General features: G+C 47.7%; 1 protein-coding gene across 4 annotated transcripts in view, besides 2 other annotated features; it reads right to left on the reverse strand.

Moving 5' to 3' along the window:
- Nucleotides 1-6,781: 6,781 nt before the first annotated feature.
- Nucleotides 6,782-20,915, reverse strand: part of MEAK7 (MTOR associated protein MEAK7) — a 28,305-nt gene continuing 14,171 nt past the window's right edge. For all 4 annotated transcript variants that reach the window (NM_020947.4, XM_005256075.3, XM_017023511.2 and 1 more), the window contains 5 exons: nt 19,705-19,849; nt 17,058-17,486; nt 13,019-13,137; nt 10,956-11,135; nt 6,782-10,453 (listed from right to left, as the gene is read on the reverse strand). In NM_020947.4, the coding sequence (NP_065998.3) occupies nt 10,340-10,453; nt 10,956-11,135; nt 13,019-13,137; nt 17,058-17,486; nt 19,705-19,849 (987 nt within the window). In that variant the 3' untranslated portion in view covers nt 6,782-10,339. The remainder of the gene's footprint in view (nt 10,454-10,955; nt 11,136-13,018; nt 13,138-17,057; nt 17,487-19,704; nt 19,850-20,915) is intronic.
- Nucleotides 9,410-10,609: an enhancer, noted in NCBI's record as "BRD4-independent group 4 enhancer chr16:84512589-84513788 (GRCh37/hg19 assembly coordinates)". NCBI's record gives its function as "activates an origin of replication core promoter dependent on BRD2, P300/CBP, MED14 and CDK7 cofactors, and independent of BRD4, by STARR-seq in HCT116 cells {active_cell/tissue: HCT116}" and the evidence as "EXISTENCE:reporter gene assay evidence [ECO:0000049][PMID:35650434]".
- Nucleotides 13,690-14,191: an enhancer, noted in NCBI's record as "H3K27ac hESC enhancer chr16:84516869-84517370 (GRCh37/hg19 assembly coordinates)". NCBI's record gives its function as "activates a minimal SCP1, AML or CMV promoter by ChIP-STARR-seq in primed H9 embryonic stem cells {active_cell/tissue: H9 hESC(primed)}" and the evidence as "EXISTENCE:reporter gene assay evidence [ECO:0000049][PMID:30033119]".

A 20,915-nucleotide genomic window follows, 5' to 3' on the forward strand; every position in this document is an offset into this window, starting at 1 on the left:
GTCTCACGCCTGTAATCCTGGCACTTTGGGAGGTTGAGGTGGGTAGATCACAAGGTCAGGAGATTGAGACCATCCTGGCCAACATGGTGAAACCTCATCTCTACTAAAATACAAAACATCAGCCAGGCATGGTGGTTGCACACCTGTAGTCCCAGCCACTCGGAAGGCTGAGGCAGGAGAACTGCTTGAACCCAGGACGCGGAGATTGCAGTGAGCCAAGATCACGCTACTGCACTCCAGCCTGGATGACAGAGCAAGATTCCATCTCAAAAAGAAAAAAAAAAAAAAAAGAATTCAGTAAGGTAACTGGGAATAAAAACTACAAAAATCAAGAGCTTCCTATGTTAAAATAACCATCACTTAGGAAAAAATGTCCACTGACAGTCCCAGAAATGACAATAAAAATTTACCTAAGAAGCTAGATGTCCCTGTTCTTGGATAGAAGCATCAACGTTAGCCAAATGTCAGCATTAAATATACATTAACATAGGCAGAACCATTTGGAAAGTACTATCCTATTTTTTAGAAGTGGTCACAGTGCAAAGGTCGGAGAAAATAAGCAGCCAAGCATTTGCCGAAAAATTCCAAAAAACAGTAGTAAGAGAAAAACGGCTCTTACATATTTTTATCACCAAATTCCAGCAATTAAAACATGAGAGAGACCTCAATTCATACAGAAACTCAGCTGATGACAAAGTATCATTAGAAGTCAATGGGAAAAGACAAACCACTTAATATACAAGGTAATGGGACTTTATTTTGGGCTAAGATAGGACTATATGTTTAAATGCCTTTTGAAGGCCAGGCACGGTGGCTCATGCCTGTAATCCCAGCACTTTGGGAGGCTAAAATGGGAGGATCACCTGAGGTCAGGAGTTCGAGACCAGCCTGGCCAACATGGTGAAACCCCATCTCTACTAAAAATACAAAAATTAGCCAGGTGTGATGGCAAGCACCTGTAATCCCAGCTACTCGGGAGGCTGAGGCAGGCTAATGTCTTGAACCTAGGAGGCGGAGGTTGCAGTCAGCTGAGATCACACCACTGCACTCCACCTGGGTGACAGAGTGAGACTCCATCTCAAAAAGTAAAAAAAAAATATATATATATATATATATATGCATACACACACACACATATATAATTTATATATATACACACACATAAAAATATATATATATACACACACACACACATATATATATATAAAAGCCTTTTGAATAGATAAAAGATTTAAGAGGTAAAAACAGAAACCACAGTAGAAGAAAATGATTTTTAATACTCAGAGTAGAGACAGACTGCCTAAACAAACGGCAAATCCAAAGACCCTTAAGCAGAAATGCTGGGAAATATGACAGAAACTGTAAAATTTATGGGCAGAAAAACGCCACAAACGAAGTCAAATAAACCGTAGAAAACATTGACCATACATGGGAAATGCTACTTCATTCATAAAAAGCACTGTTGGCCGGGTGTGGTGGCTTGCACCTGTAATCCCAGCACTTTCGGAGGCTGAGGCAGGAGGATCCCTTGAGTTCAGGAGTTCAAGACCAGCTTGGGCAACATATTGAGACCTCATTTCTATTTTATTTTTTAAAAGCACTGTTACAAATCGATAAGAAAAAGACCGACACCCTAGAAAACCAAGAAAAAGATATGATACAGAAAGCTTTTGAAAAATGAGGCTGTTCACTGTCACTTGGTAGAAAAATTTAAACAGTACAGTTTTGAGCAAGACACCATATGGGAGCCCAGCCCACAAGAGACTGCACACCAGCCTGGGGCTCAGCAGCACCAGGGCAGAGGCACAGCAAAGTGCGGGCTGCCACTGCCAAGGTGCAAGTGGGGTGCGTGTTCCCACTCACTGGCATGGGCTGCTGCCACTGAAAGCAGCCTCACCCTCCCCAGTGGCAAGGTCACAGCACAACTGCTGTTACCTCCCACCCAAGCATTCCACCAGAGGCCTGGGGACTGCCCCCTCCCCAGCTACCACAGAAAATGCCTGCGTATGCCATGGAGGGACCTCAGACAAGCCCGCCCAGCCTGGCTTTGCCGCACATGCTGATATGGCTTGGCTGTGACCCCACCCAAATCTCATCTTGTACTTCCCATAATCTCCACGTGTCATGGGAGGGAGCCGGGTGGGGGAGGTAATTGAATCATGGGGGTAGTTACCTCCATGCTGTTTTCATGATAGTGAGTTCTGACACGATCTGATGGTTTTATAAGGGGCTTTGCTCCTGCTTTGCTCTGCACTTCTCCTTCCTACCATCATGTGAAGAAGGACATGTTTGCTTCCCCTTCCGCCATGATTGTAAGTTTCCTGAGGCCTCCCTAGCCATGCTGAACTGTGAGCCAATTAAACGTCTTTCCTTTAGAAATTATCCAGGCTCAGATATGTCTTTATTAGCAGCATATGAGAACGGACTAATACACACACCCTATGCTGGAACACACAGTCTAGATGACTGGGGACGGCCCAGCCGAGGCCACCACTATTGGTACCTGAGCACTCCTCTCAGACTGCTGAGGGTGGGTTCACCCACCCTGCCACTACCTGCACTAGTTGGCATCTACATGCACGTGCCACCTGTGGGCCTGGAGACTGGCCCACCCAGCTCATCACAGCCACCACCACTACCAGGTACACTACTAGGGACCCAGAGGGTTACCCTGCCATTGCCACTGCCACTACCATCTCCTATGCCACACTGGCTGCCCAGGGGCCCAAGAGCCCAGCCACCTGGCCCACTGCTGCCATTTAGCATCCAAGCAAGCTATCCTCAACAAAACACTAGCAAACTGAATCCAACAGCACATCAAAAAAAAAAAAGAAAAAAAGAAAAAAAGAAAACAGGCCGGGTGTGGTAGCTCACGCCTGTAATCCCAGCACTTTGGGAGGTCAAGGCGGGTGGATCACTTGAAGCCTGGAGTTCGAGACCAGCCTGGCCAACATGGTGAAACCCTGTCTCTAGTAAAAATACAAATATTAGCCAGGTGTGGGGGTGGGTGCCTGTAATCCCCACTACTTGGGAGGCTGAGGCAGGAGAATTGCTTGAACATAGCAGGCAGAGGTTGCAGTGAGTCGACATTCTGCCACTGCACTCCAGCCTGAGCGACAAAGCAATATTCCATCTCAAAAAGCAAAACAAAACAAAAATAATACACCACAATAAAGTGAGATTTATCCCACTTATGCAAGGATGGTTCAACATACAGAAATCAATAAATGTGATACATCACATTAATAGAATGAAGGACAAAAACCATATGATCAGATATAAGCAATTAGTAAACTGATGCAGAAAAAGCATTTGATAAAACACGACATTCCTTCCTGAAAAAAAACTGTCAACAAACCAGACAGAAGGGACATACCTCAACATAATCAAGACCATATATGACAAACCCACAGCTGACATCATCCTGAATGGGGAAAAGCTGAAAGCCTTTCCTCTAAGAACTGGAACAAGACAAGGATGCCCACTTTTACCACTCCTATGCAACATAATATTGGAAGTCCTGGCCAGAGCAATCAGGCAAGAGAAAGAAATAAAAAGCATCCCAACTGGCAAAGAGGAACTCAAATTGTCCCTTTTTGCTGATGATATGATCCTGTATCTAGAAAGACTCCATCAAAAAACTATTAGATCTCATAAATTCAGTAAAGTTACAGGATACAAAATCAACATACAGAAATCAGTAGTGTTTCTACATACAGATAATGGAATATCTGAGAAATAATTCAAGACAATAACCCCATTGACAATTACTACAAAAAAAAAAAAAAAAAACCTAGGAATAAATTTAACCAAGAAGTAAAAGATCTATACAAGGAAAACTACAAAGCACTAATGAAAGACATTGAAGAGGACACAAACAAATGGAAAACATCCCATGCTCATGGATCAGAACTAATACCATTAAAATGACCGTACTGCCCAAAGCCATCTAGAGATTCAATGCCATCCCTATCAAAATATGTCATTTTTCACAAAATTAAAAACAAATCCTAAAGTTCATATGGAACCAAAAGAGAGCCCAAGTAGCCTAAGCAATCCTGAGCAAAAAGAACAAGGTTGCAGGCAGCATACCACCTCACTTCAAAATCTATTACAGGGCTATAGTAACCAAAATAGCATGGTATTGCTTTAAAAAAAATTTAAAAAGAGACACATGGACCAATGGAACAGAATAGAGAAACCAGAAATAAGTCTACATATCTATAGCCAACTTATGTTCAACAAAGTTGCCAAAAACATACACTGGGGTAAGGACAGTGTCTTCAATAAATGGTGCTGGGATAATTGGATATCCATATGCAGAAGAATGAAACCCTACCTCTCACCATCTACAAAAACCAGATGAAGACGAATTAAAGATTTAAATGTAAGACCCAAAACTATAAAACTACTAGAAGAAAACAGGGAAAACAATTCACGAACCCAACAATTTAAAAATAAACAATCCCATTAAAAAGTAGACAAAGGACATGAATAGACATTTCTCAAAAGAAGACATATAATGGCCAACAGCTATAAGAAAAAAAAAAAAAGAGCTCAACATCACTAACTATCATCCAATCCAGCAATCCCACTACTGAGTATTTATTCAAAGGAAAAGAATCAGTGTGTCCAAGGGATATCTGCATGCCGACATTTACTGCAGCACTATTCGCAATAGCAAAGATGTAGACACAACCTAAACATCCACCAATGGATGAACGGATAAAGAAAACGCGGTATATACCCTCTCATGCCAGTCAGCATGGCAATTATTAAAATGTCAAGAAACAATAGATGCTGATGAGATCGTAGAAAAACAGGAACGCGGCTGGGCGCAGTGGCTCACGCCTGTAATCCCAGCATTTTGGGAGGCTGAGGTGGACGGATCACAAGGTCAGGAGATCGAGACCATCCTGGCTAACACGGTGAAACTCTGTCCCTACTAAAAATACAAAAAAATTAGCCGGGCGTGGTGGCGGGCGCCTGTAGTCCCAGCTACTCGGGAGGCTGAGGCAGGAGAATGGCGTGAACCGGGGAGGTGGAGCTTGCAGTGAGCGGAGGTCACGCCACTGCACTCCAGCCTGGGCAACAGAGTGAGACTCCGTCTCAAGAAAAAAAAAAAAAAAAAAGAAAAAACAGGAACGCTCTTCCACTGTTGGTGGTAATGTAAATTAGTTCAACCATTGTGGAAGACAGTGTGGCGATTCCTCAAAGATCTAGAATCAGAAATACCACTGGACGCAGCAATCCCATTACTAGGTACATACCCAAAGGAATATAAATCATATGTTACAAAGATACATGCACACATATGTTCACGGCAGCGCTATTCACAATAACAAAGACATGGTATCAACCCAAATGCCCATTAGTGATAGACTGGATTTTAAAAATGTGGCACATATATACCATGGAATACTAAGTAGCCATCAAAAAGAATGAGATCATGTCCTTTGCAGGAACATGGATGGAGCTGGGAGCCATTACCCTCAGCAAACTGGCACAGGAAGAGAAAACCAAACACTGCATGTTCTCACTTATAAGTGGAAGCTGAACAGTAAGAACACATGGATGCAGGGAGGGGAAAAACACAGACTGGGGCCTGTTGGTGGTAGGGCTGCGGGAGGGAGAGGATTAGGAAAAATAGCTAACGCATGCTGGGCTTAATACGTAGGTGATGGGTTGATAGGTTCAGCAAACCACCATGGCACACATTTACCTATGTAACAAATCTGCACATCCTGCACATGTACCCTGGAACTTAATTTTTTAAAAAAGGAAGAGTATATATACACGATGGAATATTATTTGGCCATAAAAAGTGAAATCATGTCATTTGCAACAACATGGATGGTACTGGAGGTCATTATGTTCAGTGAAAAAGGCAGACACAGAAAGACAAATTCTGCATGTTCTCACTGATGTATGTCAGCTAAAAAAAAAAAAAAGTGGATCTCATGGAGGTAGAGAAAAGAACGATAGATACTAGAGGATGGGAAGGATATATGAGTGGGAGGGAGGGAGCAAGAGATGTCGGCTAGTGGGTGCAGGGAGCCGAAGGCCCGTGGGACGTGACCAACTCAGCATTCCACTGGAGGCTGTGTGATCAAACAGCAAACTGTTTATCATGAATGCAGGATGTGGGCAAACTCATGACTGCTCCTGCCAACAGGTTTGCTGGAGGCCATCACTCCCTGTCACCAAGGTTATCTACTGCGACATCTAGAGCCTGTTGTTTGAGGAATGCAGTCTTGCAAGCCTACTCCGGACTGAGCAGCTGACCCCTTCTTCCACCCCCCTTCTCACTATGTCTTTTGCATAACAAATACGGAGGGCTGTGTAAAGTTCAGGGCCCTTGTCCACTAGAGGCAAGGTGCCCCCTGACCCCTTCTTCCAAACATACTCTTTTGTCTCTTGTCTTTTATTCCCATGTTCGCCCCCTTTGTTCGGTCCCCCTAGGTCCATGAGGATTACTTAGTTGCACCCCAAACAGCAACAGAACCGGGTGCCCCACAAGGGGGTACAAACATACAGTTAGAAGAGATAAGTTCTCATGTTCTATAGCAGCACTGGGTGACCAGAGTCGGCAACAATGCACTGTGTATTTCACAGTAGACATAAGGGAAGACTTGCAATGCTTGGAATGTGGAAAGGATACTCAAGTTGACGGACACCCCTAAATACCCTCACTTGATCATTACACAGTCTACACATGTAGCAAATACATGTACCCCATAAGTATGTAAATATTATATCAACAAAATATAGTTTTTGTCTATCAGGTTAAAAAAACATATTTTAATACAGTTTTGCTGAAAACATGGCAAACAGGCACCCCGGTATATTGAGTATAAATTGAGCTCAAGAGGTTTTTTTAATTCATCTATATCTAAATAAAAGGCATATACCTCTCAATCCAACAATTCCAATTCTAAGAGTTTATCCCACAGACACCATCACAGCAAGGCACACATAAACGATATTCATGACAATGATTAGCTGCAAACAAAATGTTCCCCAGCTGCAGACGGTGGAACGCTAGGCCCGAGAGCATCCATATGGTGGGACATCACGCAGTCCATAAAGACAAGAGGGAGGCAGGTGGGTGGTTACGGACCTCCCTTTAAAAAAGAAAGCGAGGGACACATCAGTGTGTAAAAGACAGTGATGCCCAGGTGTGCACCAAGTCACAGGGAGGAGACCTGAGTGATTTTTGCATCAGTGCCTTTGCCTGTCAGGAGGGAAAATAGCTGGAGAAGAGGCAGGAAGATGACTGACTTTAAGTTGTATCCTTTTATCTTTTTTTTCTAAACCAGGTACACAATTTTTTTTAAACATAGGGTCTTGCTGTGTTGCCCAGGCTGGAGTGCAGTGGCACAATCACAGCTTATAGCAGCCTCAACCTTCCAGGCCTAAATGATCCTCACACCTCAGCCTCCCAAGTAGCTAGGACCACAGGCATGTGTTACCATGCCTGGTTAATTTTCGTATTTTTTTTTGTAGAGATGGGTTTTCGCCATGTTGCCCAGGCTGGTCTTGAACTCCTGGGCTCAAGCAATCGGCCTGCCTCAAGCTCCCAAAATGCTGGGATTACAGGCGTGAGCCATCACACCCAGCCTTTTTTTTTTTCTTGAAACGGAGTTTCACTCTTGTTGCCCAGGCTAGAGTGCAATGGCACGATCTCGGCTCACCACAACCTCTGCCTCCCTGGTTCAAGCAATTCTACTACCTCAGCCTCCTGAGTAGCTGAGATTACAGGCATGTGCCACCATGCCCAGCTAATTTTGTATTTTTAGTAGAGATGGGGTTTCTCCATGTTGGTCAGGCTGGTCTCGAACTTCCGACCTCAGGTGATCCGCCTACCTCGGCCTCCCAAAGTGCTGGGATTACAGGCGTGAGCCACCGCACCCGGCCCCAGACTTTTTTTTAATTAAAAAATATGGTGGGAGAAAATAATAGCTTGCAATGTGGCAATCATTTATAATAGTTTGCAACGCGGACAAATTTTTTTTTTAACCCCTTCCTCCTAGCACTTTCTAGGGCCCTGATAAGTCTTCATTTGTAGGGAGACCTCTAGTCCTTAGAACCTGAATTCTCATTCTGGTTTCACAAAAGAACAAACTATTCATTTGTGCAAACTAGGATTGCGAGTTTCTCAGAGCCAGGTAAGGTACTGTCAGGTCCACTGGCCCCAGCCCTGCACACGCCCTAAAAAGGTTTGAGTGTCCAGAGGCAGAACCGTGCACCAAGAGAAGCCCACAGAGAGAGCTGCATCCCCCAGGCTCCCAAGCCCGGGCCAGTGACCTTTCTCTAAGTGCACTGCCTGGAAGCAGGTGCATTCGTGATCTGCACTCTCCTTAGAACAAGCTCAGGGTGGAAAGCATGTGAGTGGACAAAGTCCTAACCTTTGCAGCGGCCTGGGCAGAAGCAGCAATCAATGGTCACCAAGGCACAGACACTGACGGACATTTAATTTTTTTTTTAACTGAGGCATCATGGCAGTTTAATAGTGAGGTATTTAATTGCATTTTTATAAAAAACATTGCAAAACAAAGTGACAATAGGGACCTAAATTCTTTGGACTTACGGTAGAGATGCTTGAGGATCCTAATATTCTACTTCTGCCAACATGTCAGGTAGGAAGCTCACAATGTTCCCCATAAGCCATTACAAACTGGCTAAGGAAAATCAGTCATGACTAAGTCCTTGTCTGCATCACGCTCCTGCCCCTCCACACACTGTCTGAGCGTGCACTTTTCTTTCGAAGGCTAATTTATGAGGCATTCTGCCTGAGTCAGGGCTATTGCTAAGTGGAAGGTTTGATGAACCTCCCAGTAGAAAATGCAAGGCCTGCAAAAATGCGAACAGCTCGATTTACTATGGCTTATAATCAAGGCAAACTATACAATAAGAGGTTGTATTTTCATCAGATCTGCAAAAGGTCAAAGCTTACAGCAAAAGACAAAAGGAAGAGGTATATATCTTAGAGACAAGCTCACAGCACCTTTAAGTGGGGAGATCTCATGGCCAACCGGTGACTCACCGTGTGTTGTTTTCCAGACGTGGGCAGATGGCAGCTCTGCTGACCCCACAACCCACCTACACGATCTTCAGCATTTCAGGATCACCGGAGCTTGTTTAAAGTCAGTCTACACTGCTGAATTTCCCATCATCCCCCTCGGGAGCAGCCCTGGGCAAATGGCTGCACTGACAGCTGTGACTCAGGCACTGGTTCCCAGAGATCTAGAACCCAGGCCAGCACCGAGGCCTAGACAGCTGTGACTCAGGTGCTGGTTCCCAGAGGTCTAGAACCCAGGCCAGTCACTCACCACTGATTTATGGAATGGACCATATACGTATTTATCAACCAAGTTCCCAAACTTAGGGTGCCCAATGTCCCTCACCTTGAAGTTAGCAAGAGAACCACAACTTTGCTTCTCTGTAGACAGATCTCCCAACTTTCCCATCTGTTCCTCACACACATTCATTTAAAAACAGCTGAGAGAGCTGGGTGTGGAACCTTATTACAAATACCTTCTGAGGACTCATGCCACCACCAGACCATGTTACCTCAAAGTCTCCTGCCTCCATTTCCCCATTTTATACACAGTTCATGCTTTTAAATACAGAACTCCCATGCCATTGGAAGCTGTTCCCAGAAAGCGTCGAGATTTTCATCCAGATGCCTCTGTCCCTCACCCGTCAGAACAGACCATCAGGTACCACCTTCTAACAGGGATGGCCTGAGTGAGGCCATATGAACCCCAGCGGGAGGAACCCCCTCCTCAATAGAGAAGTTGAGATCCCAGCAATGCTAATGCCAGCGGAATTCCCTAATGCCAGCGGAATTCCCTAATGCCAGCGGAATTCCCTAATGCCAGCGGAATTCCCTAATGCCAGCGGAATTCCCTAATGCCAGCGGAATTCCCTAATGCCAGCGGAATTCCCTAATGCCAGCGGAATTCCCTAATGCCAGCGGAATTCCCTAATGCCAGCGGGGGTCTGAAAGGTCTCAGCTGCTTAGGATTTCGTTGGTAAAAAAGAACAAAGTATAAGACTGAGTTACTAATTTGACACAAGATTTCTTGGAGAGATCCTGAGGGTGACCCTGTAGGGAAAAAAAGAAAACTTAAAAAACATCTATTTCTGGGAGATCCACCCATGAGTCAGGACATGGCTTCAGAGGGCGTCTTCTTGGCACATGTGGGACTACCAGGCTGTGACCCGTGCGGTACGCTATTACAGTTAAACCATGTGGGAGGGAAGAGGGGCTGCAGGCGTTGCCCTCTACCCAGAGGAATCCAGGTCCTGGCTCCAGGAAGGCTCAGGCGGCTCCTCATTCATCGTCCGGGACTTCCCGGAGCCCTTCGCTGTGGCGCGAATGCCCACTGATCTCCAGCAGGGCCTGGGCCTCAGGGTCCGCATCCAGGATGCTCTTGTTGCCCTTGGCCTTGAGAAGAGAAGAAAGGGTGGGTGTGTTCCATGATGGCCCAACAAGAGGCAGCAGCTTCCTGCTAGTTTTCCAGCCTTCTTGGGTGGAATCAGGCTCCGGTTCCCCCTAAGGCCCCTCCCACTCTGGGATTCAGTGGCTGGGTGGGTAGGAGGTATTACAGGAGGTTCAGGGGCCAACAGCAACTCAGGTGCAGAACCAGGGAAGCGGAAGGAACCCTAGACATTCCTCCTCTTGCAGGTGGGCAGAGAGAATGAAGGGCCACCTGGGCTCGCACTTGGGGAACCCCCCTTCCCAGGGCTGCTCTACTAAACCACCCACAAATCCCAGACAAGACTTCCAGCCATGCATCTCCTGGCATCCAAGCCAGCATCAGCTACCAGGATCAAATTTGGGATAAACTATCTGCAGACAGAAGAGTAAAGGGGTAATGGTAAGAAAATGCAGAAAGGCCCCCAGGCTCAAGGGGCCATCCTGGGATGCAGAGGACAGCTCCACTCACCAACTGCTCCTCTGAGGGGTCTCCAACCGCCCACACCTCCATCTTATCAAACTGGAAGTTCTCCTGAGCCGACAGCTGCGGGCTGTTGTACGTGGTGCACGTGGGCTTGGCTCTGCTGTGTCCTTTCCCAAAATCAACATCCACCCAAAGCCCAAAGTAATTGTGCTGCCCCCCCATACCCTGCAAAGGAAGCCAGGACAGAGAATAGCATCAGCAACTCCTCAGGGTCTGTGGACATCAAATACCACAAGCCAGCCTCTCGCCTTAAGTACCAGCCTGAGACAGGGGCGGGTGAGTGGTGAATGCCATCATCTTGTTTTCCTTAACTGTGAAATATATCAATTACTGCCATTTAAGCATCCCATGCCAAGTTACTAGAACAGTCATCTATGTCTCCAGACACCCACCCCATGGCTCTTTCTCAAGAAGATTTGCTGGCTGAAAGCACAAGTGACATCAGAGAATTAAAAATGTTAAATATATATAGAGAAAGAGACCTCCAGGGCCCAGGGCCCCGCCCAGTTAAGATAAGGGGAGAGGTGAACACAGAAGCTGACACTGCAAACCCCCTGTGTTGGGGCCCCAGTGCCCCGCTTCCGGGCAGCGATCCTCACCCCAAGACAGGCTGGGAAACTCAGCTCCGAGTGTGTGGCTTACAGGATGCGGAGGCAGACCCGGAGGCGGATGCGAACCCCTGTGCCTTCCACCCTCAGTCACATGGCTGGGCTCTGAGCTGTTCAATCTCACCCTGCAGAGAACCTCCTCTGGTCCCTGGTAGGCCTGTAACACCTGGCACGCCCTAGTTCTGACCTTGGGCAACCAGAGACCCGAGCACACTGCCCAGAGTTGACACGCGGAGCCGCTCTCTCAGGGCCAATGACGAGCGATGACCGGGGCCTGCCGGGTGCTGCCTGTGAGGCTGGCACCCTCACTCCTGCCGCCACCAGACCGCCCTTTCCAGAAGGTGCCAGGTGTTCTAGGTGGCCTGGCCACGCCCCTCCCTCTCTCCAGGGCAGCAGTGTGGTAAGCCTGGGAAGGACGCTGGTCCCTATATCGGACCAGCCTTCTCTGCCCTCAGCTCTGCAGAAACAGGGCTGGATTTTCCCAATAAGAGCTTTCTGTCAGCTGGGCGCAGTGGCTCACGCCTGTAATCCCAGCACTTTAGGAGGCCAAGGCGGGTGGATCACGAGGTCAGGAGATGGAGACCATCCTGGCTAACATGGTGAAACCCCGTCTCTACTAAAAATACAAAAAAATTAGCCAGGCGTGATAGCGGGTGCCTGTGGTCCCAGCTACTTGGGAGGCTGAGGCAGGAGAATGGCGTGAACCTGGGAGGCGGAGCTTGCAGTGAGCCGAGATCGCGCCACTGCACTCCAGCCTGGACAAGAGTGGACTCCATCTCAAAAAGAAAAAAAAGAAAAGAAAAGAGCTTTCTGTCAAGCAGCAGAGGAAAGAAATCAGCAGGGGAGCTGGCAGGAGCAAGCTGAGCTTCGGCGTGGATGCTGCCCCAACTCCTGCCCTCGGGCCTGCCTGGACCCGTGCCCACCCACTCCCTGCACCCGGCCTAGGCCTCCCCCGCTTCCCCCTGCTTCCTGTGCCATGTCACCAAGCTGAAGCGAGGGCTGGACAGGAGCCACGGTCACCCCAACTGGGGCCCCACATGCTGTCTCATGAGCTGCCGGCCGTCCATTCCCCTTGGTCCAGCACTCCCACGTATGAGGCAGGCCAGCGACGCGCAGGGACAGGTCTGGCGCTGACACCATCCCTAGCCACAAAGGCTACAAACCAATCATCTGAGGGCCAGAAAAATGGGCCAAGTGTGCCATCTGCACACAAACCACTGAGAAGCCCCAGCAGAGGCCACATCCTTCTCTAAGGGAAACCCTGGCCCAGCTGTCACTGCCCCCAGCACCGGCCCTGGAAACAGAAGGAACTGGACATGGCGTGCGTGAGGAACTGAATGCCACGCGCCCTGCCCTGATCTGTGGAGCTGAGCCTCGGGGTTGACACCTTTGCTGGGGGACATCACCAAGGCAAGACCACCACGCTCTGCCCGGGCTCACCAGTCCGTTCGGGATCGTCTGCTGTCCATGGTTCAAGTACATGTAGTGGTCGTTGTAGCCCGTGTGTGTGTACACAGCCATGCTGGGGCAGATGGAGAACAGGAAGCATCTGTTGTCCCCTGAAAGTAGCCAGAGAACAAAACAAACAGGGTCGGTGTCTGAGCCGGTCCCACAGGGCCGGAAATGCCGGTAAGCTGCAGCTCAGGAAGCAACAGGGCCAAGACCCTTCTCACCCATGTCCAGGTGTCGGCAGATCAGGGTTTGGGACAAGCTGCTAGGGACCCAGGTGGATGAGCTGGGGATGCAGGGATTAGAGGGACAGCTAATAAGGAATGGGACATCTTTTAGCTCTGGCCAGGGGAGCAGAGATCAGAACTCTGCCCACTGTCTGCTGGAATCAGTTCAGGCTGGCCAAGCACATCCGAGCCAGAAAGAGCAGGCTTCCTTTAGCTTATGAGCACGGGGCAGGTGGTCACTCCGCAGAGACTGAGGCCTCCAGCACAGCCTACCTGAGCAGGCAAGTGACGCTGCGTAGTGCTGACCCCGGCCTGAAAGAACGTACCATGCAGAGAGAGAAAACCTGCAGCTGCAGAGCTGTCCCCAGGGGCACGGCCTACGAAAGGAAGTAGTTTACCCTCGCCCAAAGGCATGGGGTGGGCACACAGGCCATTAAAAGAAAGGTACCAGTCAAAACTCTGGAAACTATGGGTCCCCAGTCTCAGAGACTCCTCCACTCCATAAGCACCTCAGCACTGGGGACAGGGCCGTAGGCCAGGCCTCGTCCTCGGAGCTCCCAGCGAGGGACACTTCCCACCATGTTCTGAGGACTTGGCCGGAAGGGCTGCCCGCCTCGACACCAGCATACACAACTGTCACAACAAGCTGGAAGGCTGCAGAGAAACAAGCTCATGGGAATTTGGGGTTGGGCTATTCATCAGGTGGGAAAGAAGTCACAGGAAGCAAATTGGGGGCACCATGATGGAACGCAGATAAGAAGGGGGCACCAAGACCAGGAGGCTGGAAGAGGACGATGGCCCCGAGCAAGCCAACAGGGCTCAGTCTGTAGAGTGTGGGCTGACACCGCCCAAGGCTCCAATCTAGAAAGATCGCTGGGGGGCCTCTGCCATCAGGGTCTGGGAGGCTTCTGGGAGGCAGCTTCCGAGGTCAAGAGGGAGGCCCTGAAACAGAGCTGGCTGGGGCAAGAGTCCCCATGGAGAAGGGATCCCATGAGGACAAGGTGTGGGACAGGTACGGAACAGTGGGGCTTGAGAGCATCGGGTGGAGGAAGGAGGATAGTTAGGCTAGAAAGTTCCACTGGAACCAGCTAAGTGAAGGGCTTTACTCTGGGCTACAGACTCAGGCTTGCTTCACTGGGTTTCAGCAGCCCCAGAGGCTTGAGGGCAGGTTTAGACGCCGCCATGAACAGCTGGGTCACACCCGTCTGCACTGCCCCCGCCCCGCTCTCCCCGACTGGACTTCAGGTAAGCGGCCCTTTGCTTTGCAATCCTGAGCCCGTCTTGCTGCGGAGCAAGGTCGCAGGGCCACAGAGTTCAGGCCTCAGCTGCGATAGGCCCAGATCCTAGTCCACCCCCAAGGGCTGTTCTCCATAGGGAAAGCCAGGAGGGGGAAGCATCATTCCCAGAATACAGGGCAAGGACCTGATGAGTTATGATTATCTGTGGAAAAAAGTGACACCAACAACGAGGACTCCTTATCTCATTCCCATAAAACAATACCCAAGCGTGCGGCCACCAGCACCTGACGCTCGGCCGCCGAGGAGCTGCCTGCCCACACAGCATGGTTTCGTGTAATTCTGAGGAGCTGAGGCCCAGAAAATGAATCAATCACCTTGCCCAGGGCTAGAGCTGGGACTCAAAATCCTGTGTTCAATCCAAAGCCTTGGGCCTTTTCAATGATTGCACAGAAAACACAAGCCAAAAGGCTCTAAGTATAATCAGTTCTTCTTTCCTCAAGCAAAAACACTCTGATGAAAACAGTCCTTTAAAAAGGTTTACGAAGCCACATTACCCCGCAGGGAAATATCCTCTGTACTCAAGGAGGTGGCCACCCTCCCCAGCATTTGCCTTCATTGTTTGTCCCACAGCTATTAAATCACTTAAAGTCTCAGATATTAGAGGTCATTATTTCCAGGACAAGCGGACAGCACGCTCTCCGAACTTGACCCACAGTCCACGGATTTGTACCATGCGTGGTGTGAGGCTGCCCTCTGCTGTTGTTTCGTGAGTATGGACACGTACTGCAACAGAATGAACTCGGGTTTGAAAACTTGGCCACTGCATTTTTCCCACATGCTTCAGCAAGATTAAGTCTGCTTGTTAATAAAACATAAAGAGCCAGCAGAGTCCATCTGAAATTAACATTAAAGGCTCTGGAGGGAGCAGCAGCTTTACCCTGATCATGATGCTCAGGGTCTCTTCATATCCTAAAGCCGAGCCTTCAGCCATGCAGTGAGGCAGAGCAATGTGTAATTTCCCCGGAGCCCGAGGCTGGGCTGGTGGGCACATGCCCTATGCCTGTGACATGGAGGCAGGGCAAGGTGGGTGTGCAGAAGAGAGTGGCCGTGGCAAGGCTGAGGCTGCTGTCTCTAGAAAGGCCCACCTGCAGGGCCGGCCCTGGGCTGGCACCTGGAAACTTTGATTTGGGGAGAATTCCCACCATTCCCAGAACTAAGATAAAGATCTAGAACATCCTGAAACCTAGATATAAATCAAACCCTAGAAACAATGCAATCTAGGAGATAGAGGTGCCCAACCCTCAACCTGGTGACCCCTGCTACCTATTCCAGCCAGATGCCACCTAGCCTCTGCTGAAAGCTCTCCTGCAAGGGCAACTCCACCTGGACACAGTTCCCGGCCTTCAGAACCTCTGCCTGGTGGAGAAATGACGATTCCAGAGGTGCGGGGTAAGATACAGGATGTACCGGGGAATGCCAAAGGCAAACCCTGGGGATGGTGGCCCACTCTCAAGTACAGAGGACAGCCCACTGATGGGCGACGCATCTGTAAACATTTCAAAAACTATCTATCTATCCATCCATCCATCCATCCATCCATCTATCTACCTATCTATCTATCTATCTATCTATCTAGAGATGGAGTCTCGCTCTGTTGCTCAGGCTGGAGTGCGGTGGTATGATCTCGGCTCACTGCAACTCTGCTTCCGAGGTTCAAGCAATTCTCATGCCTCAGCCTCCCACGTAGCTGGGATTACAGGCATGCGCCACCACACCCATCTAATTTGTGTACTTTCAGTAGAGACGTGGTTTCACCACGTTCACCAGGCTGGTCTCAAATGCCTGACCTCAAGTGATCCACCTGCCTCGGACTCCCAAAGTGCTGGGATTACAGGCTTGAGCCACCACGCCCAGCCTTATTATTTTTTTTTTTTTTTTAAGATAGAGGCAAGGTCTCACTATGTTGCCCATGCTGGTCTCAAACTCCTGGGTTCAAGTGATCCTCCTGCCTCAGCCTCCCAAAATGCTGGGATTCCAGGTGTGAGCCACTGCACCTGGCCTGTGTTTTAAATATTTTTAAAGGACTCTTTTCATCAGAGTATTCTTCCTTGAGGGAAGGAAAAGAATTTACTTAGAACCTTTCATCCAGTGCATTCAAGGTCATGCACAAAGCTTCCAAATTCCAACAAGCAAACGCGTGGCGGTGGGGGCAGGGGCAGGAAGGCCCAGGGAAGGAAAATGTCCGATCTGAACCAATTACCATCTCCTGGTCCCCTCGGAGGCATCTGTGGCTTGACTTCTCCCACGCCCCATAGACCCGGCACCGTGTAATAACTGGGCCCGTGTCCTCGCCTGAAAACTGGGGGTCACACGGCCTGTCCTGAAGAACTCTGATGTGATAAACACCATAGAGCAGCATCACATTTTCCTATCGCCCCGACTGCGTCTAGAGAAACACTTGGAGAAGATGGGAGAGCCCTATTTAGCACCCCCACCCTCTCCCTTTCTCCAGAGCTCTTTGCCCGTGCTGTGCCACTCGTCAAGGTTCAGGACACCAAGTCTTACCTTGAAACTGAGGCTTCACCTCCCAAGAGCAAGAGGCAAACCCACCGAACACATGCTTGTCATGGTCCTCGAGGACAGCCACACAGGGTCCCCGGTGAGTGATGTGGCCACAGAGCTGGGAGAAGCTGTGTCCATGGAGCTCAGACGAAAAGAGCAGGCACCAGCGGTGCCGCTGCTCCCGAGGCAGCTGGGCGTTGATGTACATGACAGAGAGGACATCCAGGATGCTCTCAAAACCCCTGCCCTGGTCCACTTGACGCTCAGGGACCAGGGTAGTCAGATCAAGAGACGAGCACAGGATGAGAAAGCCCTTGCAAATGACCACACTCAGGAATATGGCCACATGGGGGACCCTGAACACCCAGTCCTCGATCACAGCTCGGTCACAGTCATAGTCCAGCCACTGGGGCCCCAGAAGTCTCTTGCCATCTAGGGGAAGGGGATGGTCAGCATTAGTGGGGCTGTTATGTCACCATTTAGCTACTATCTAAACCCACACTGATCAGTGTGGGAGCCACGAGTCACATGCAATTACTGAGCACAGAAAACAGGGCTCGTGTGAATTGAGAGGTGCCGTCAGTGTAAAAGGCACACTTGATTTCAAAGATTTGGTATGAAAAAAGAATGTAAAATATCTCAATTTTTAAATATTCATTACATTTCAAAATTGTATTTAGGACATATTATTAGAATCAGTTTTCCCCTGTTTCTCTTTACTCTTTTAACATGGTCCCTAGAAAAGGGAAAATTTCACATGGGGCTTGCTTTGTCTATTGGCCAGCACTGATCTAAACAATCCGACTTCAACACTTTTCTCTCCTCTCCAAGCAGCATTTCAGAACCCCTCGAGATGGCAGTGCCCTGGCAATGGGGCTGGAATAAATGCCTGAGCTACACCTGGAGCCGCTCATCCAAGGGCGTCGGTCCTGCCAAGGTCACTGGAAGGGGAATGTTCCCAGCCAGTCAAGGGGCTGGTAGGGCACTTCCTGGGACTCCTGCAGTTTATCTGGGAAGTGCGGGTTTCATTCGCCACTAATCAGGCTTAATCATACAGCACTTGGAGCCCTATTTTCCATCCCTCACCCACTAAGAGTGGAGGTGACAGTAAGAGCGTGGGAGCACACACCTGGGACTCGAACAGCTGGCTTCAAACCCGAGCTCAGGAACAGCATGACCTTGCCAAGGTCTGGACCTCTGTGCCTCAGTTTCCTCAGGTATAAAATGGAGGTAAGGCCAGAACCTGCCCCGCTCGGTTATTACAAGGAACAGAGGAGCTTTTACGTCTTAAGCTCTTGCTGACACAAAGGCCCCATTTACAGAGATTATAATTCCCAACCTAGCGAAAATTTGACTAAGCTGAAATATTTTGTGTAACTCAGGCCCATTTTATTAAGCAGGAAATGTAAAAGTACTCCCAACTTCTGATAATTCAAAATTCCTATCATTTCTATTTATTTTTCAAACAGTTTCATTTCTCATTACCTATATATTACTTGAAATCTTAAGGATAATTTTAATCGTCTGAATTACCTTTTCTACTTCACTGAAAACTTTAATTTTTATTTTCATGATTCTTCTTTTAAAACATACTGATTCTAGATGGATGAACAGTTTACCCATAAGACGAATTACTGATACTTACTTGTAAAATTCTTTCCAAGTTCCAAATACCTCATCTAAACTAACTTCTGAAATATAACCTATTTTCAAGCTGTACTTTAAAATCTGGCTTTAAAACAAAAGGGCAACATATTTATAAAGTAAGTCTGCTTTGCAAAGTGATTTGCCACAAGGTTTTTTTTTTTAATCCCAATTAAATTTAAATATATACTGCTTCTCACCCAACAACAGAATACACATTCTTCTCAAATGTGCTTTAAACATTATCCAGAAGTGACCATACTATAGGCCATAAATGATGCATCAACAAATTTTAAAGGATTCAAATAATACAAAGTATCTTCTCTAAACATAATGAAATATAATCAAAAATCAGTACTAAAAGGCAATTTGAGGAATTCACAGGCATGGAGAAATTAAATAACACACTGTTACATAGCCAGTAGGCCAAATGAAAAAATCCTAAGGGACATTAGAAAATATTGAGATCAATGAAAATAAAAACATAACCTATCAAAACTTATGGCATGCAGCGAAGGCAGTGCTGAAAGGGAAATGTGCAAGTGTAAATGCTTATTTGAAAAAGAAGATCTCGAATCAATAACCTAGTATTCTATCTTAAGAAACTAGGAAAAGAAGACCAAACAAATTTAAAGCAAACAGAAGGAAGAAAATAAAAGCTAGAGGAAAATAAATAGAAACTAGAAAGACAACAGAAAATTAATGAAACTAAAAGCTGGTTCTTCAAAAAGTACCGACAAAAATGTGAAAACCCTTTAGCTAGACTAAGAGGAAAAAGGGACAAGAGACAAATTATTTAAATCAGTAATGGAAGTGGGGACATCCCTATTGCTTTTGGGAAAATAAGGATTATTTTAAAATATGCCAACAAACTAGAAAACCTAGAAGAAGGTTCGAGGGCTCACGCATTCTGGTTTCAAAGCTTTACTACACAGCTACAGTAATGGAGACAGCAGGTACCGCTCTACAGCAAAAGACCTGCATCACCGCGTCCACGCACACTTGCCTTGCAGCTTCATGTCAGAGAGCAGCTGAGCAGCCAGCACCTGCACCCGGGGGTTGGGCCCTGGGGCTTCCTTCCCAGTCCAGCCTCTCAGCTCCTGTCTGTGGCTTAGCACGTGCACCACAGAGCCAACCAGATCCTCTGTAAACTGTAAGATCACAATTTTACCATTAAAAACAGTTCCACCATATCCTGAGACCTATGTCATGCCCACATGGAGAAGGGCAATTTTCTTTAACACCAACTATGATGGGCCACAATGTGGGGAAAGGTCATGCAATGTATGTAGTTACTCGTTTTTCTAATGATGCACTTGGCTGGCCTAGAACTTTTCCCAAAGCCTTTGTCCAGGAGTTCTGACCTCATCCCAACAGTATTGGGGTTTAGGACTCCCCGAGGATGGACAGCTCCACAATGCCTGCTGTCTTCATTGCTCAAACCAACAGGATGATTTGCTGAGGCCCAGGAGCTACCCCCTCCAGAAAATCCCTGATCTCCCCAAATTTGGTTGAGATCTAAGGTTTATTTTGCTGAGTTTTACTTGCTTCCAAAAAGGAAGGCAAGTCTTCCTGTTTCCATAATGATAGAGGGCAAGCAACTGCTTTCTGGAGTTGCAGCTCGCTTCCAACAGGGAAGGGGAATTGGAGGTTTTCCTGCTTCTAAGATGGCAGAGGGCAGTCTGCAGCCTGGGCCCCACTCCTAGGAAAGTAGATGAATTGGGGTTTTGTCTTAAAAATTCTCCTGATGACTAAAACTTAAACAACCAACTGGTCTTCATTTACCAATGGTCTTCTCCTTACCATTAGAGCACTCAGTAATTGTACAAACTGTGTGAGCGTGTGTTTGTTTTGCTGAACTGTTTTTATTTGTGGCTTCTGTTTTTATTGTTTCAGTCTTTTTCCCACTTGGTTTGATCAACTCTACCTGACTTGGTCAAATCCGAGGGAACGTTCCAAATTATAGGGAAACAAGGCCTCTGAATTGGCTAAATTCCCATAGCTGGGGGAAAAAAAAAAAAAAGAAGGAAAGAGCAAGGCCACCAAAAGGAAAAAAACATTTTGACTGCCTTGAGGGGCTTTATTTCCATAACCTTTACTAGCCAGGCCCAAACTAAAAGACCCAGGGCAGCGGCCCACACTCTCGCTGGGCGGCTAAGTTTCTGCCCCGCCTTTTTTTTTTTTTTTTTTTTTTTTTTTTTTTTTTTTACCTCAACA

Source organism: Homo sapiens, chromosome 16, assembly GCF_000001405.40.
Source record: "Homo sapiens chromosome 16, GRCh38.p14 Primary Assembly".
Lineage (NCBI taxonomy): Eukaryota > Metazoa > Chordata > Mammalia > Primates > Hominidae > Homo > Homo sapiens.